This window comes from Homo sapiens, chromosome 15 (genome assembly GCF_000001405.40).
Source record: "Homo sapiens chromosome 15, GRCh38.p14 Primary Assembly".
NCBI classification, from domain to species: domain Eukaryota; kingdom Metazoa; phylum Chordata; class Mammalia; order Primates; family Hominidae; genus Homo; species Homo sapiens.
In genome coordinates, this window is record NC_000015.10 from 38,310,115 (window position 1) to 38,329,284 (window position 19,170).

Consider the following 19,170-nt stretch of genomic DNA (forward strand, 5'->3'; position numbering starts at 1 on the left):
TTGTGTGTGTGTGTGTGTGTGTGTGTGTGTGTGTGTGTGTTTGGAGACGAAGTTTCGCTCTTGTTGCCCATACTGGAGCGCAGTGGCGCGATCTCGGCTCATTGCAACCTCTGCCTCCCAGGTTCAAGCTTTTCTCCTGCCTCAGCCTCCCGAGTAGCTGGGATTACAGGCACCTGCCACCACGCTCGCTAATTTTTGTATATTTAGTAGAGACGGGGGTTTCACCATGTTGACCAGGCTTGTCTTGAACTTCTGACCTCAGGTGATCCACCCACCTCTGCCTCCCAAAGTGCTGGGATTACAGGCATGAGCCACTGTGCCCAGCCAAATTTTAGAATATTCTTGTATGTATCTACAAAAAAACCTTACTGAAACCTTACTGGGGTTTTGATAGGAATTGTATTAAACCTGTGGATCAACTTGGGGAGAATGGACATCTTTACTATGATGAACTTCTAATTCATAAATACACTGTGTCTCTGTTTAGGTCTTTGAATCCTTTCATTAACATTTTGTGATTTTCAACACATAGATCTTATATGTTTTGTTAATTGTATACCTGAATGTTTTTCTTATATGTTTTGTTAATTGTATACCTAAATGTTTTGTTTAGAGCAATTGTAAATACTATTGTGTTTTTAATTTTGGTTACTGCATGTCCATTGTATATAGACATGCTATTAATTTTCATTTGTTGTTCTTGTATCCTGTTACATAGACATATTTAATTCTTTATTTAAATTCCCTGGAATTTTTTAATGTTGACATCATGTCATCTACAAATAGGAAGGGATTTATTTCTTCCTCTTCAATCTATATGTCTTTTCTTTTTCTTCCCTTATTTCTGTGGCTAGAACCTCCAATTCTATATGGAATACAATGGTAGTAGAGTACATCCTTGCCTTGTTTCAGATATTAACCAAAACACATACACTCTTTCACTTTTAGTATATTGTTGGCTGGGGTTTCTTGCAGGCATTTTTTATCAAATTGAGATAATTCTACTCTTGCTAACTTGCTGATAATTTGTATCATGACTAGATATTGGAGTATGTTAAATTTTTTTTGTGTCAATTGATCACATTAGCCTGTTGATACGATAGATTATATTGATTGATTTTTAAATATTGAACCAGCCCTGTTTCTGCAATAAATCCCACTTGGTCATGGTGTATAATTTTTGATACGTTGTTGGACTTGGTTTGCTAATATTCAGTTGAGGAATTTTGCATTTAAGTTCATTAGAGATAATAGTCTGTAGGTCGGTGGGGGTTTTCTTGGTACTGTTTTTGTTTAATATTGGTGTCAAGGTAATACTGGCCTCATTAAAATAAGTTGGGAAGTACTCCCTCATATTCTGTTTTCTGGAAAAGACTGTAAAATTGGTGTTAGTTCGTTTTTAGATGGTAGAATTTTTCATTGAAACTATCTCAATATGAAGATCTCTTCAGAAGATTTTAAATTACAAATTCAGTTTCTTTAATTGTTATACGACTATTCAGGTTATCTATTTCATCATGGTTGAATTTTTATAATTTGTGATTTTTAAATAATCGGTCAATTTCTTTTAAGTTGTCTAACTTATGAGCATAAAGTTGTTCTTAGTACCTCAGTTATTCTTTTAAAGGCTGCAGGAACTTTAGCAGTATCCCGTTTCATTCCTGTAATGGATTTGTGGCTTTGCTCTTTTGTCAGTCTTGCTAGAGATGTATCAATTGTATTGGTTTTTAGAAAAGTAGTTTTTGTTTCACTGATTTTTCTTCTATTTTCAATTTTATTTCTGTTGTCATTTTCTTTTTGCTTGCTTTGGGTTTATTTTGCTCTCCCTTCTTTAGTCTCTGGAGGTAGGAACTTCAATTATTGATTTGAGATTTTTCCTCCTTTGTAAAGTCCAGACTTTTGAAAAGACTTCAGTTCACTATAGTATAAAGTTTTGGTTTTATAAAATTTAACATTATTTATTAAATTATTCAAATTTATACATACTTTTTTGTTTAACTTTCAAAGGTTGAATATCTCCAACTGTCATGTTTTTGGATATTTTTGTGTTTCTAAATGGTTTCTGTGTTATAATAGGGTATTGCTGTATCAATTGGTTCATAAGGTTCGTAACTGTTAAAGTCTTAGATCTTCGAGATTCATTTCATCAACATTATATGAGCCCATCTCCAAATTATAGAAATCCAGTGAGAGAAAAGAGAATTGCCTAAGCTTATTTAGTTTTATTCTGGCAGTTTAGAAATCTAGCAACCTGTGGGGACCCAAGAAAAAGCTGAGTCAGGAAGCCTGTGCCCGATTGTTTTTTGTTATTTTTTAGTGTGCCTACCAGGAGTCAGAGCCATATTAATTCCTAATTAGGAGTCAGTTTTGACAATGCCCTCCCCTTTTGTGGGTAGAATTCCCCTACAGTATCTATAAAAGGTGGTGACATTCTTGTTCTTTGACCTCTAGTCCTTGATATATTTCCAAGATGTCCTGGTGGAATCCCAGTATATCTCACCTCACATTCCCCTCATCCCATGTCGTCGTTGCTTTCTAGTCATTCACTTTCGTTAATAGTTACAGGTCTCTAATGGTTTTCTATTTTATTTTTCAGTTAGTTTGGTAAGTTACAGTTTTTTAGGAAATTGGCTTGTTTCACTTAAGTTTTCATATTCAGGGTCATAAACCTTTATATTGTATTCTTTATTAATTTTTAAATCTTTACTTTTAGTTTTGTCCCTCTTTTTCTTCCTAACATAGTTTATTTGTACTTTTTCTTTTTTTCTTGTCCATTTCACTGGTCTTTGCAAATAATCAGCTGTTGGCAAGGATACTCTCAAGCCCTCTTGTATACCTTTTACCTAAATTCTCCAATTTTTAACATTTGCCACATTGAATGTATCATTTTCTCCCTCTCCCACACGCACACACCCACATACACAAAAAACACTTTTTTTCTGAACTATGTGATGTAAGTTGCATTACAGCCTGCTTTTTACCCTAATTGTTCAGTGTATTTTTCCTAAGAACAAGGATATTCTCTTACAAAATTATAGTGTATTTATCATATTTAGGAAATTAACATAAATACAGTCTTTAATCTACAGTCCCTATTCCAGTTTTTACAACCGTCCATGTAATGTTCTTATGACAATTTTGTTTCTTCAGTATAAGATAATGTAGCATTTAACTGCCATAGCTCTTTAGTCTTCTGTAAAATGGAGCAGTGCCTCAGTCTTTAATGACATAGACATATTTAAAGAATACTGGGCAGTTATTTTATAGAATGTTTCTCAATTTGGATTTTTCTAATGTTTCCCCATGATTAGATTCATATTATTCATCCTTGCCCAGAATATCATATAACATCTTGTGCTAGAAAGTAAAGTTGTACTCAATGGGTGAAATCTTGTTGAAAAGACACAAGTCAGCATGAAGGAGTTCCCTTTATCCAATTAAAGTAGGATAAATGATTATAATTCATTGACTAAAACAGGAATTCATATTATCCGTTACATTATATTATATTATCTGTTATATTATATTCTATATTATATCATATTATATTCTAAACAAGCAAGCAAATGGTGAAAAAGTAGTTCTTCCTTTCTGTAGATATTTTTAAATGAATTCATACTCTTTATTTCTTAATACATTTTTGGGTTTATTATATTCATTTTTAACATTTTAAATTGGACATTGAGTTCATTTTATTTTCAGATTTTGATTTTCACTCTAAGCTTTTTAAACTACAAATTTCCTTTTTGGCTTCTTGTTTTGGATTGTTGCACTACACAAATTTTTATATGGAGTTAATTTCATTATCTTTTAGGTCTAAGGGTTTTCTAATTCTCATGCTGATTTATTTGATTCACTTGTCATTTAGAAGCAGGTGTAATTTCTTTCAAAAGAACAGGTATTTTAAACTAAAGTTGTATTGCATTATGTTTAGAGATGATAGCCTATGCAATAACAGTTATATTTGTCAAGATATATGTTATATTGTGGGTAAATGATTAATTTACCTAAGTGTTCCACATATTTTAGAAGAATGTATTTTTCAAGTAATTCATACAGGTTTCTGCATGTGTCCCATAGGTCAGATGTTTTAATGGTGATATTCAAATCTGCTTTATCTTTACTAATTTTGTGTCTATTTCATCTATCAATTATTGAGACATATATTCAGATATGTTACTCTGATTATAGATTTGTCAAGTTTTTCTTGTGTTTATTCTTGCCTAATAAAAATGTATGGATTATATTTCTACTAAGTGAACTTTATTCATTATACCTTTTAGCCTAAGAGTCCATTTTGCTTATTACTGTCAGCATCCACCACCTTTTCCCAATATTATAATGTCAAGTTTAATTCCAGCTGAACACTTTTTCATATCCTTGTAGTCATGTGAGCCTCCAGTTAAATTTTATTCCTCTATTGGTTGTTTGTTCTAATTTTTATTATTTGCACACATACGTGTATACTTTCTCACCTCATTTATTTAAGTAGGATCTAGGTAGAAGTGTGGGTTTATTGGAGTATGGGAACTGTAGATACTGGTGTTCCAGTTACTATCTTTTTGAGTGAAAATAAAATACCTATGTATGTCTGACTGTCAAATATTTGATCTCTTTTGTAACTTGCTGTTTTTTATATTAACTATTTAGTCATACAAAAATAATGTGTGTTAAAATAAAGTGCCATAATTATGAAAATATGATACCATTTTCTTTCCTTCTCTCCTCCTTTATTCCTTTTTTTCTCCCTCCTTCCCTTCCTTTTGTGGTAGCTGAAGGTAACGGAACTGCTATTGTGTGAGAATCACTGCCATTGCTGTTTCTGTTACTTTTATTTTTCAATGTCTAAAGTCCCACTCAGCTCAGAACACAGTGTTAAACACAAATTTATATTAATAGACAATTGTAAAAACATGTATTTGATAACATAATTCTATATAGAATGTCATAATGTATTTCTTAAAGGGTACAGGTTTTTATGTCATTCAGAAAATTAAAGTTCATTATAAGGGCAACTATTTGAGATATCAGTTATTGACTTTGGTTATCAAGTAATTTAATCTGAATTTGGAATTATTATTTTAAAAATGAAATTATTTTTCATTGGATTCAAAGGTATTTCAGAAAGTTACTAGTAAAAATTTTTATGTCTGGTTACCAAGCATACTACTTCTTAGATAACACTATTTGTGAACATATAATTATCTACTCGTAAGATAGCAACTACAATGTAGTACTTAGTAATTTAAAAGTATATATTTAATTGTACTCTCTTCTTCCAAATTATTAGTTGTTATTAGTGAAACAAAATGCACTTACACCCATTTTTGGCTTGGTCTATTTTAAATGCTTCTGGCATGCAACACAGTTATTTTACGATGGGAGTTTTGCTCTATATTTCCCAAAATAACTTGGAATAAGTCTTCAGAAGTTGTAGTTACTTAGTAATCACAGTTTCTCCCCTTTTTTCCCCCTCTGTAAATTCTCACCCTGGAACTTTTTTCAGATGAAGGAAAAGGGTTGGAGATTGAAGCATTTTTACAGCCTTTAGAATCCATTAACAAACTCTTCAGAATTTACTCACATAAGTTCTTTGAAGTGCTTAATAGTTGTATCTGTCACTCAAACACCTCTGTCTCCATACTCAAAAATCCTCTTCATAAATAATGATCTCCCATCCTCGCATAGCAAGTAACCTATTGTGGGGTAGTGGCATCACCTAGTCACCAACATCACCATCACTACTAAGATTTATTGAAGATTTACTATGTGTCGGGCAGTATTTTGAATACTTTATTAGTTCATCTAATTCTCAAAAGTCAGCTGGATGGTGAGTGGTAGAGACTGGATGGGACCCAGCAGGTCTTGGCTACAAAGCCTACAAGCTTAACTAATTACTCTACTGAATTCTTACACAGTAGTAACTGTTTTCTTCTTCCTTGGGAAGTGAATGTGTCATGTTCCTGGCCTGTTCTATTTTTCATAGCTTAATCATTTTATTTTGAACACTTTTCACTCATATAAAAATCAATTTTTGTTAAACACCTTCTTCCGCTGTCTCTTAACCTGGTGTAGTATAAGGAAACCGTTTGTTTTCCCTCTCCCTTCATCTGTATCAGATTTTAATAAATTTATGTCAACAGTATTTTCAGTTTTCTTGAAGTCCAGAGTTCACCTGTTTATCTGTTTATCTGTATTTTCGTAAATAACATCTGTTTAATGTTAACAGACAAAAACATAAAAAATAAAAATAGATTTTAAAAGTTATTTTTGTTACCACTGGATTGAAAGACTTTAAGATCTTCTTAAAATATCTGTGGTTCCAAAAATATTTACCTTGCTAGTAAAGAATTTAGACTTGTATGTCTTAAGCAACTTAGATTTGTTAAGATCTGTGTTGGAATGCAAAGTTGTGCTACCAAATACACCACATAACTGTATTTTCCTCCTTTATTATTATAGTCACTTTCCTAAAGCCGGCTCCAGCCAGTCTATTTGCAGCAATTATATTGTACTCCAACCTGGCCAGATCTGTTTGTAAAAGTCTGAATTTTTCTTCATGCAATCAGTATAAACATTTAAGTGCTTTTGAATTTGTTGCGGCTTTTTCTAGTTTACAATTTTCCATTATATGTTTTTTTTTTTTTTTTTTTTTTTTGGTTAATGTCTTTATTTCTAATCCCTGTGCATTTGTAGATGATGAAAAGTTCAAAAAGTTCTAGTACTAATAATAAAACATTAATTTGTTCTTTGTCAACCAGCCACATTTTTAATGGATCAGTGAAGGGTTATTCGTGTCATATTATTTTGGCATCATATTCTTTATAGTTATTCTTGTTGATTGAGTCCTACATTTAATATTTACTTTACAGTAGCTGTCTACACTTCTGATGTCTTTCCAGTTTATTAATATAAACTATATTTTGAGTAAAAAAGAGGGTGAGGCCACTGGTTGGCTTTTAAATTTATCTTTACTATCTATTTTATGAATGTCCTTCATTAATACGATGGGGACCTGATGAAATTCACACCCACAACTAATTAATACTAGCAAGAAGTTTATTCAGCTTTTAATTAGAATTAGGGATATATTCCAATAGACTGAATATTTTTAAGATTATGTTTTTAATAGCTTCTGGCAATGGCCTTTAGGATAGTCTTAACAAGACTTAGAATTATTTATTTCCTTTTGCACCATGTCTTGTCTTACAAAGAAGACAAGATGTTAATTGCCATTGGTAATTAGTCTAACTTCCTATTGGCCAGAAGTAATGTATCCCTTTACCTCATTTCTCCTACAAAGTAAATAATTCACTTGGTAATATGGCATTGGTTGTTTTTAATCTCTTGTCAAAGATGTAATTGCTATTTTCTACAGTTTGTTTGCTAATTATGCCAATCTCAAATATGGTAATTCAGCATTGAACTCTGCTTCCTGTATGATTGTTGTTACTAATATTACTATTATCTTAAGATACAGAATTAATACAGTGAAAACTACATTGGGCTAAAGTCAGAACTTAGTGTTCTGATATAGTTGAGAAGGGACGTGAAAATAGCCAGCAGAATTCAGTAATTTTAAGAATCCTCTAGCCCTTAAAATTATTTTTGCTTTTCAGGAATGTAGATTTAGTTCTCATCAGATGATGAGTAAACATCTTCTGAGGCATTCTTTTTTTCTGCTTTCTTTTTTTTTTTTTAACAACTTTCAACCCCATTGATTTTTTTTTTTAAGTTTGAAGTAGACAGTTGGTATCTGTCTCTGTTACTTAATCAAGGTGTACTATACATTGTGTTTAGTATGATGAAAGTACATTTTACAAAATGCTACTTAAAGTCAAAAGCAAAACAACTTTCTAATATATTGTGTCACTTAGATAAATAAGAAAATATTGTACATTGCATAGGGAACCTATGAGAATTATGTAAATGAGCAATAGACTGTTCTAGGAGGCATATCCTAAAAATTATCTACAAAGATGTTGGGTGATTGTGCCAATAGATTACCTTTTTTCTATTCCACTGCCTATTCCAAAATTCATTTTAGCAGCTACCATAGAAGTTTTTCCCTAAAGGATAATCAGTTTTATGGTACATTAAATATATAATGCCAACAGTATTTTCTCGTATTTTTATAGATAGACGTAAACAAGTTGAGATCTAGTTTATAATTAGTATGTTTTTGTACTGGTTGGTATGATATTTAAACTCAGTATTTTCATGACTTTTACGTGGAACACATTTCTGCATGGGTATTTATGTGAGTCAAAGAGCTAGTTCATTGGCCTCTTCATTTCCTCAGTGCATTTTAAAGCTCATTTTTATTGATTTATTTACAATTTCATCTTTTAGATTCAAGGGGTACATGTGCAGATTTTGTTACCTGGGTATATTGGGTAATGCTGAGGTTTGGGCAATAATGGATTTTGACACCCATGTACTCAATAGGTTTTGAACTCTTACCTCCCTCCTTCTCTTTCCCCTGTAGTAGTTCCCAGTGTCTATTATTGCCATCTTTGTGTCTATGAGTATTCATTGTTAGCTCCCTCTTATAAGTAAGAACATGTGGTGTTTGGCTTTCGGTTCCTACATTAATTTGCTTAGGATAATGGCCTCTAACTATATCCATGTTGCTGCAAAGCACATGATTTCATTCTTCTGTATGTCTGTTTAGTATCCCATGGTATATGTTTTATAAGTATATACATACCACATTTTCTTTATTTAATCCACCATTGATGGACACCTAGGTTGATTCCATGTCTTTGCTATTGTGAATAGTGCTTGAACTTATTTTTAAAACTACTTTTTCTGTGAGTGTTGGGAGGCTCTAAACAATAGATGCCATTTGAAGACAAGATTAGGGTAGATCACATTGAAATTTTATTTGAGAGTTAATAGTTGAAAATATTAATTTTGTAAAATAGAAGAGGGGGCTAATTCAGTAATATTTTCATGTATTAAAAATTAATTTGGTGTTATTATTATATATTAAAAAACTAGAATCAAACTGTTTTTATGTCTTCCCCTTTTTAACAATTCCAATTTAGCATTGTTTTACAAAATACTGCTTTTCCCACTGTTTATGAATATAGTATAAATGTTGCAGTAATTTATGACACTACCATTTACTTCCCCTTGAATTCTAGAACTTAATCGTGAATTGTTGTTGTTGTTGCAAAATGGTTGTAACAAATATTTAATAGTAAATCTGTGTAAAATGCTTTAGCAAAGTGCCGACTCAAAAAAGCTCTGGATACATGTAAATTATTTTCTTTTTTTGAGACAGAGTTTTACTCTTGCTGCCTAGGCTGGAGTGCAATGGCATGATCTCGGCTCACTGCAACCTCTGCCTCCCAGGTTGAAGTGATTCTCCTGGCTCAGCCTCTCGAGTAGCTGAGATTACAGGTTCCCACCACCACGCCCGGCTAATTTTTGTATTTTAGTGGAGACGGGTTTCACTATGTTGGTCAGGATGGTCTTGAACTCCTGACCTCAGTTGATCCACCCGCCTCAGCCTCCCACAGGGCTGGGATTACAGGCGTGAGCCACTGTGCCTGGCGGTTAATTCTTTTCTAATACACATAGAGTCATCAAAGTATAGGAAGCAAAAGTCTTGAGAGAATTTCACTGCATTGCCTATAAACGGGCAGGACTGAACCTTAGTCACATTTTTGGTTATTTCTGAATTAATAAAACTTACTACCAAGAATTATTATATTCAGTGGTATGCTGATAAAAGGTTTAACAATCAGCTTTCAAGAGGGGACACAAGTCAATGATTTATAGCATTTACATACCTCTACCATGGCTGCTTTTACTCAACATGCCATCATTGCATATAGCATTGGGAAGAAATGAGCAGCAGTGTGGCATTATATAGTATTTCCACCGTACAGATATGACAGACATAAACTACCTCAAGAACCTAGGTAATTGTAAAAATATAGTAAAATAATTAGGAACTGATGAGTTTTGTGTATTTATTATTTTATTTTTAATGCAATTTATTTCATTGTAGAGTTATATATTCTAGCTTTTAACAATGGCTTCCAAAATTCTTGAAAATTTAATATCTGGCTCTTGGGAGCCAGTATAAGCAGACTCTAGCAGACCTCCCCTCCAAAAGTATAAATTAGAGATTCCTAGTCCATGATCTGTGAATGAGTTCCTTGGGAAGTGCATAAAGCCTAAAAGATTTCTGAGGAGAAGTATTGGTTGAGTACCTAATGTTTGTCTGCCACTGTAGTTTAAGGATTTGGCAAACAGACAAAGACCAGCTCATGCAGGGCCTAGTAGGTCATAGTAAGAATTTTAGTCTTGAAAGCATTGAAAAGACATTGAAACTAGGGAGTGGTCCAGTAAAGTTGCTATTTTTTTTTAAGAAAAATTATTACTCTACCTGCAGAGTAGTGCAATTACTATTAGTAATTCACTACTACTAGTAATATCTGAGGGGATCATCAGCAGTGCATGGAAGAGATGTGCAAGTGATAATGGTGATTGGAAAAGAGTGGAGGTAATGAAAATACAACCTTTCACCAAATACCAGCTGAGCATTTATTATGTGTCATGTGCTACTATGGGTTTCATTTGAATTATTTTTAATTCTTTTCCTCCTGTTTTCTTATAGGGGATTCTTAAAATAATTAAGGTGTGTAGTTCTAGTCTTTTTATTAGATTAATTGCAAAGATCACTAATATATCCACTTTTGTTTTATTTGACAACTAACATATATTAAAAGCATACTGTGAATATGATGAAAGACAGGCCCAGGAACGAAAGACTGAAGAGACCTTATAACTGTCCTGGAATGGATCCTATACTGGAAGGATTTTTAAAATGCTCTAAAAGGTGTTATTAGTATAGTAGGCAAAAGTGGAACGTGGTCTATGGAACATGGTCTATAGATTAAAGTTCTGTGTTGGTTTTAAATTTCCTGAATGAGATCACCATACTGTGATTACATAAGAGAATAGTATTGCACTTAGGAAATATACTCAAGTGTGTATTAAAGAGCAGTAGAACATAATATATGTAACTCCTTTGAAATAGTTCATAATAAAGTAAATTAAATGTTTATACATGGATATATGTGGAGAGAATGTTAAAAATTAATGTGATAAATCTGGATAAAGGGAAAACAGGAATTTTCTGTGTTATTCTTGTTACTTTTCTACAAATTTGAAATACTTTCAAAATAAAAAATTTAAAAACCAAGGGTATATTGCTTCATGCATTGCATGAAGCTCTTAACATGAATGCACATTCGGTCATTCCACTCTAAGCTCTGGGATATTTTAGTACTGCAATTTCTGTTTTACAGATGAGTAAACTAAGGCTTCAAAAGTTAGGTAACTCACTTAAATGCATATTTTGAAAAAGTGGCCAAGTGTATTTGTTTTACTGCTGTGACCATTAAATCCTTACACAAAATATAAATACGTCTTTTAAGAAGTTTAGGAAAATGACTTTATTTTGTTTTGTTTTGTTTTTGAGACAAAGTCTCACTGTGTTGCCCAGGTTGGAGTGCAGTGACGTGATCTCAACTCACTGCAACCTCCACCTCCTGGGCTCAGACGATTCTCCTGCCTCAGCCTCCTGAGTAGCTGGGATTACAGGCATGTACCTCCACACCCAGCTAATTTTTTATATTTTTAGTAGAGATGGGGTTTCACCATGTTGGCCACGCTGGTCTCAAACTCCTGATTTCAAGTGATCCGCCCGCCTCGGCCTCCCAAAGTGCTGGGATTACAGGTGTGAGCCACTGCCCCCAGCCAAAAATGACTTTAAAAAGTTAAATTTCTATTATTACCAACCCCCTGCCTGTTTCCTGGAAGTAATTCCTGATATATTCCTCCAGAAATTTTGTATGCAATGGGAGTGTATATATGTGTGTATTCTTAAAATGGGAGTATAATAAGCATCCTGTTTATAATGTGCATTTTTTTATTCCATCTTAATCTCTTTATTGAGTGACTTTGTGAAGTAGACCACTTTATTTAAAATACTAAAAATTATTCATTAAAAAGTAATAGCGTTGTATCACCTCAGTTTGTATTTATGAGCTACATTAGATGCATTTGATATATGTATATTAATTTTTGGTATTTGGCTTTTGTCAGGTGGTTTTGGAATGTATGCTTAAAAAAGACCTCATTTATAATAAGGTCACTCCAACATTTCACCACTGGAAGATTGATGACAAGAAGTTTGGTCTTACGTTTCAAAGTCCTGCTGATGCTAGGGCTTTTGATAGAGGTATCCGAAGAGCTATAGAGGATATTTCTCAAGGTAGGTATTCTTGACTATTTTCTTAATTTATTTATCGGTTATATATAGTAGAGGTTATCTTTCTTAAAGTTGACCCAAAGTAGTTTTCACACTTTAACCATGTCAGCTTTTGTGATATGTGACCAGGCTTTGAAACCTCACAATAGATGAAGATAAAATAATAGATTCCTTAACGTGATTTGTATTTGTCACATCATAGTCTATGTCAATTGCATGTATTATCTTGAAGAGTCCATCAACAGCTGACTTCAGATAATTCAAATGTTTTAAAATAAGAGCTTGAAGGAAGAGGGAATAGAAATGTACAGCTGCGAGAATCCCAGTTGGTATTCTACTTGTGTATGTATGACACCAGTCACATCCTTTTTTTGGGTAATTATATAGAACTTGTAATATTCAAATGTATGTAGACTCTAGTTATTCCATGACAAAAGTCTTTACTTGATTGATTTCATTATTGAGGATTGGCAGAGACCACAAGCTCATCTATTCCTTTGTTATCTTGCCAGTCTATTAAAATTATTAACTCAAAAGCATACAGGTTTTGAAGGGAAGAATAATGTTTTTTCATGTAAGACTGGCTTATGCTTACTTAAACAAAAATCACATTAAAACCCATTTCTTCCCATAAAGGAAGAACTAAGACTTGATTTTTTTTTCTAATTAGGAGGAAAATTATTTCAATTTAACTAACTTTCTATATAAAGTAACTGAAAGTGTGCTAGACTACGTTGTGATTTGTGTTATTTTGAAGATGTCATTTTAATAAGAAAATCTGAAAACATAAACTGTGAGACCAGTCACAGGCAAGAACATGGAAATACATTGTACAAATCTGTTTTGATAGTGCATAAAACTGTAGTTAAGTAATTTATTTAGCTACTTTAAAAGATTAGAATTTGGTAAATGAGTAATTTTTTATTCTGATCCAGAAAAAATTACTATGAAGTAATAGTAGCCATTTTGTCTTTATTGTAAGACCCCATAAATTCTCCTTAGATCAGTGTTCTTAACCTTGGCTACACATTAAAATCACCTGGGAAGCTTTTGAAGCTTAAAATGACTAGTCTGCACTCCAGACCAATTGAATCTATCTGGGGAATAGAGTCGAGTCATCCCTTATTTTTCAAAAACTCCAAGAAAGTTCAAATATGGTGAAGAATTGTTCTCTAGTCAAGGAATTGTAATTTGAATTTGAAGAAAAAAAAATAAGAAACTTAAAAAAAAAAATACATGATGTTCTGTGCCTCATTCCACAGAGATTCTGATATATTTTGGTTTGACGCCATACTCTGGCATCAGTGTATTTTTTGACAATTCCTCAGTTGATTCTAACCTTTAGCCAGGTTTGAAGAACCAGTGCTTTAAAGAGAGAGAAAAATAGTATCCATGGCTGCTGGAATTTATATGATTTAAAGTTTTGAATTACTTTTAAGTTTATGCTCATGTACCATAACAGTATACCTCTTTCACTAGGATCAAACAGATTGGGTTTAATGTTTTAAAAAATGATTTATAAGGAGTAGCTTACAAACTTCTAGGTAGAGTAGACTACAGTACTTAGTCTGCCTTGTTATTTTTGAACATTAAAAAACATTAGCTAGCATTATTATCAGCTGCTATATAGACTTTCAACAATCTCAAATTGCTTTTACTCGACCTTCTGTGACAAAAAGATAAAATATGCTGCTCTTTCCAAAGGGCGCATTTCTTCTTATCTCATGCCTACTCCGTGCTAAGCTGTGCCTCTCAAGGGTAGCATGAACTAAGAGTACTTTGCTAGGACAAATCCTTTCTTATTAATTTATTGAAACTAAAGGTACTCTTAACAGCATGAAAATCTGTACAGAGACGTTGATGCAAAAAAGTCAGTAACAACAATTGGCCATTAACTGTCAATAGTGGATTAAAACTCATTTGTTTTCCATCTTAGCTAAAGCAACTAAAATCCTGGTTATGGGTACTAAATACTGTTTCCTGGGTCAAAGCATTTAGAAAAATTGAATAAATCACATCTTAGCATCACCAGAGCAATGTAATTATAATCTGCCTAGTAATTTTGAGTATTTGGGAGAAACTAGGGGCAGGGGTAGCTAGAGATAGTATACTTTCAGAGAAAACATCTCGTTAGTAAGCAGCTGGAAATTTACCTATAGAGGAGGGAAATAATTACATTATTCTCCATTATTCTAACAGGGGCAAATGCAAGTGGCCAGTACCTTAATTGCCAGGCAGTCCAGAAAGATCTCTGATTAGTCTTCTAAAGTATTATAATGACATAATCAATTAGTCATTAATACTGGACTCTAAGACAAAAATTCTATACTTAATTAACTTTTATCTATTTTCTTAGGATGCCCCGAATCAAAAAATGAAGCTGAAGGGGCAGATGACTTACAAGTAAGTAATGGCTTGGAAGGAATTTGTAAACATAAAGGATGTGGAAGAAATCACTAGCCTTATTCAATAAACTTATCAATTACTAAGAATATTTCTAAGACACTCTATTTGTCAGATTTCTCCAGAAGAAAAGAACCAATACAGGTTGAGCATCCCTCATCTGAAAATTTAAAATCTGAAATGTTCCAAAATCTGAAACTTTTTTTCTTTTTGAGACAAGGTCTTGCTATGTTGCTCAAGCTGGTCTCGAACTCCTGGGCTGAAGCAACCCACCCACCTCCCCACAGTGCTGGGATCATAGGCCTGAGCCACCGTGCCTGGCCCCAAAATCCGAAACTTTTTGAGTATGGACATGACACCTCAAGTAGAAAAAATTTACACTTGACCTCATGTGATGAATCACACTAAAAATGCAGTCAGAATTTTGTTTCATGCACGAAATTATTTAAAATCATGTATAAAATTACCTTCAGCCTGTGTGTTATAAGGTGTATAAACATAAATTTCATCTTTAAATTGGGTACTATCCTTAAGATGTCTTATTATGCACATACAAATATTCTGAAATTTGAAACAGTTCTGGTTCCAAGCATTTCAGATAAGAGATATCAATCTTTATATAGAAAGTAAAGTTTCTGGGGTTTTTTTTTTCTTTTTTAAGGAAGTGGTTCATAAGATTGTGGGCTGGGTTGGCAGAATGGGCAGGCACGCTGAAAATTGGCACAAGTTGATGTTGCAGTCATGAGAAGGCCGAATTCTATTTTCTTCAGAGGACCTCAATCTTTTTTCTTATGCCTTTCAACTAATTGCGTGAGGTCACCCACATTATGGAGGATGCCTAACTGCCATATTAAAAGGACATTCAAGCAACACTGTGTAGATATTCATGTGGTGAGGAACTGAAGCGTTCAGACAATAGCCATATTAGTGAACCACCTTGGAAGCAGGTTATTCAGCTCCAAGCAAGCCTTAATAGATGACCAGTTGTGGCATGTTTTCATTGCAACCTTATGAGGAACCCTGAGCCAAAACCATCTAGTTAAGCTGCTCTTGAATTCCTGGTCAACAGGAATTGTGAAATAATAAATGTTTGTTATTTTAAGCCACTAAATTTGGGAATGATTTTTGACTAATGCAGATTCTGAAGACCTGAAAATGGAGTGCTGCTGTAACAAATACTAAAACATGGGAATGACTTTGGACTCAGGACTCAGACAGTAAATAAAAGCTGGAAGGTCTTTGAGGCGAGTTTTAGTGAAGTTCCGAAGAGACTTACTGGAAGCTTGAAGATCTTTGGATAGAGCGTCAGTGAGGGCTTAAATGAAAATGAAGAAAACCATATTGGAAAATGGAAGAAAGGGAATGTTTATTTAGTGGCTGAAAGCTTAGCAACAATGTCATGGCAGTAATGTGGGAGGCAGAAAATGTACCTAATGTACTGAGTGGTTAAGCTAAGGAGTTTTCAAGCAAAAGGTTGAAGCTGTTTGCCTGATTTCTTCTTACTGCTTATGATAAACAGTAAATGAGAGAAGTAAGCTAAGGAAGGGCTCCTAAACAAAAAGAACCCAGGGCTTTGCTGGTTTTGAGAATTCTCAGTTTCTCAGTATGTCAAATGGCTAAGATTAAGAAATGGCTTCTAAGCAAAGATCAAATCCAGGGCCTTCTTAGAAAAGCATTGTCTAAGGATGTGAGTGTAAATTCCTTTGTTAAGACCTCAGGAGGATTTAAGATGAACCTCAGAGAAACTTTCGATTGAAGTAGTAGGTCCTATACGAAGTGTAAATGTATGTCACTTAGCAGAAGTTTAAGGTTGAGAAGAGTTTTTCTCATTTATGAGTGTGCTTTTTATCTAATGGAGTGGACCTCTACAAGATTCACAAAGTTTTTCAAAGCATTATATTGGCAGAAATACCACCTTTGATTGAAGAGGGGCCCTTTGGATCCCCAAAATTCCACTGGCAGGAAGCAAGTTGAAAACACTATGCAGATGCAAATTTGGCCTACCTTTCAATGAAAATAGAAGGAAATTAGAAATTAGAACCAAGATCTCAGGCCAGAGCCACGAGTTATGAAAAATTATTCCCAGGTCCTAAGTTCCACTCTAGGAACTTCTAACATTGCCACCTTGATTTCAGAATTATGTGCACCAATAACTATGTTGTTCCTCTCATTTTTTCCACTTTTGAGCAAGAAGGTCACATGGCAGTTACCCTCTGCCTGTCCTACCATTGTCTTTTGGGTATGTGTTGGGCAGGTAATTTGTCTCTTAAGTTCCAGAAACGAGATTGAGAGAAGCAATATATATTCAAGGAGCAGCATTTAAGGAACTACCTACACCCAGGAAATTTCATCTGTACCTGCACCTGTTTAGAAGACAACATCCTAGCTTTGAAGATGTTCCTGTAAAAAGATGAGACTTTTAGGGAGTCATGGGAGGGTAGAGTGTATTTTGAATATGAGAAAAATATAAATAATTGGTGTTCAAAGAGCAGTGAAGTATGGTCGTTTTAAAATACGGAAACATTATTTTATACTTCTCTCATCATTGGAGTCTAATTCCCCTCTTCCTGAGTGTAGGCTGTTCCTAGGGACTCACTTCTACCACACGGAATGTGTTGAAAATGAAGTGTGACTTCTGAGGGTAGATCCTAAGAAAATTTCTGGATTCCATCTTGCTTTCTCTCTTGGATCACTCTGGGAGAAGCCAGCCACTATACGTGAAGACACTGGAGGAGAGATGTATGAAGAGATCCATGTGAGGAATTGAGGTCATCTGCCAACAACCAGCAAGGAACTGGAGCCTTCTAGCAACAACCACATGAAGTGAACCATCCTGAAAGCAAGTCCTCCAGCCACAAACAAGCCTTCAGATAATTACAGCCACTGCTAATATCCTGACTAGAACTTCATGGGGACTATGAGCCAGAATCACCCAGCTAAATTGGTCCCACATTTCTGACTTACAGAAACTATGAGATAATAAATGTTTGTGTTTGAAGCTGCTAAGTTTTGTGGTAATTTTTAATGCATCTATAGGTAAAGAATGCACAAGCAGTAAGGGAAGTTTAACTTTTTCTTAAGACGATTAGAATGATAGCTAATTTTTTCAGAGTTACAACTGCAAAAGAAAACTCTTAAATTTACCTTAGTACCATTTATTTCATTCATGATGTTCTAAAGGTTTAGAAGGTCATTCTTCTTTTGGAATGTATGGGAAGTTGCAGTGTGTTCTGATTTATCTAGCTACTTTATTAGGAATAAAATAGATCATGTTAAGTTTCATAATTCATCTTATGGGCTTGGCATAAATGTTTTGAATACAGATTATGGTTTAAGGTGGTGTTTATATCGGGTTTACTTCATTGGCAATTGTTTGCAAAGACAACTAATATAGTTTAAAAGAATAATGCATTATCTAATTTTTTAACAGTAAAAGTAATGATAATGTTATATTTAAATAAATGTTTTGAAGGCATTAAATGTCAAGAGTGGAAATCCTCTCCCTTTTGGATGTTCATTAATTAATTCAACAAATATTTGAGTACCTATTTCTGCACCAATAACTGCTAGACATTTCCTTCATAAGCTATTGGACAACTTTCTGCTTTCAACAATTAATGTCTTCATCAATTATCATAAGTCAACAAAGAAATTTACCTTTCTATTTCATATCTGTCTTTGGAGGGTTTTATAACAGATCATCATTTGAATTTAAAATCCTATCTTTCTTATCTTTTATTCCTGATGTGTAGTATAGTGCTAATCACATACATAGTTGGCACTCAAAAGTTTTGAGGAAAAGTCTTAAAAGTTAAGATTTTTAAAAACCTAACCAATATTAAGGTGTGAATGTTCTTTTCATTTGGTTTCTTTTCTTTGACTATTTTAATGAGACAATTGAGAGCTTTTGGTTTTTTTGTTTGTTTTTGAGACAGGGTCTTACTCTGTTGCCCAGGCTGGAGTGCAGTGGCATGATCTCAGCTCACTGTAGCCTTTGCCTCCTGGGCTCAAATGGTCCTCCCGCATCAGCCTCCCGAGTAGCCATAGGCACGTACCACCACTCGCGGCTAATTTTTGTATCTTTTTGGTAGAAACGGGGTTTTGCCACGTTGCCCAGGCTGGTCTCAAACTCCTGGGCTCAAGTGATCCACCCACCCACCTTGGTCTCTCAAAGTGTTGGGATTACGGCATGAGTCACTGTGCCTGGTCTAGGTTTTTCTTGTTGTTGTTGTTTAATGCTAGCTTATGCTTGTTTTAAGATCATTTTAAGTGCTGACAGAGTTGTCACAACATTTACAGCTCTTATTGTTCAGATATGCTGGATTGAGAACAAAACCCACAAAACTTACCTCACAACAGGCTTGAGGTTGAAAGAGGAAAAGATCTTAGATATCATGTTTTTGGGCAGAAGAAAGATGAGATCTGATTGATATGAAGTAAAACATTGTCATGTTTTCTCATTTGGCCATTGAGAA

The 19,170-nt window shown here is 33.9% G+C and overlaps 1 protein-coding gene across 5 annotated transcripts in view; it reads left to right on the forward strand.

The window, feature by feature from the left end:
- SPRED1 (sprouty related EVH1 domain containing 1) overlaps positions 1 to 19,170 on the forward strand; it is a 104,414-nt gene that overhangs the window by 57,279 nt on the left and 27,965 nt on the right. For all 5 annotated transcript variants that reach the window (XM_047432199.1, XM_047432200.1, XM_005254202.4 and 2 more), the window contains 2 exons: positions 12,127 to 12,295; positions 14,649 to 14,695. In XM_047432199.1, the coding sequence (XP_047288155.1) occupies positions 12,127 to 12,295; positions 14,649 to 14,695 (216 nt within the window). The remainder of the gene's footprint in view (positions 1 to 12,126; positions 12,296 to 14,648; positions 14,696 to 19,170) is intronic.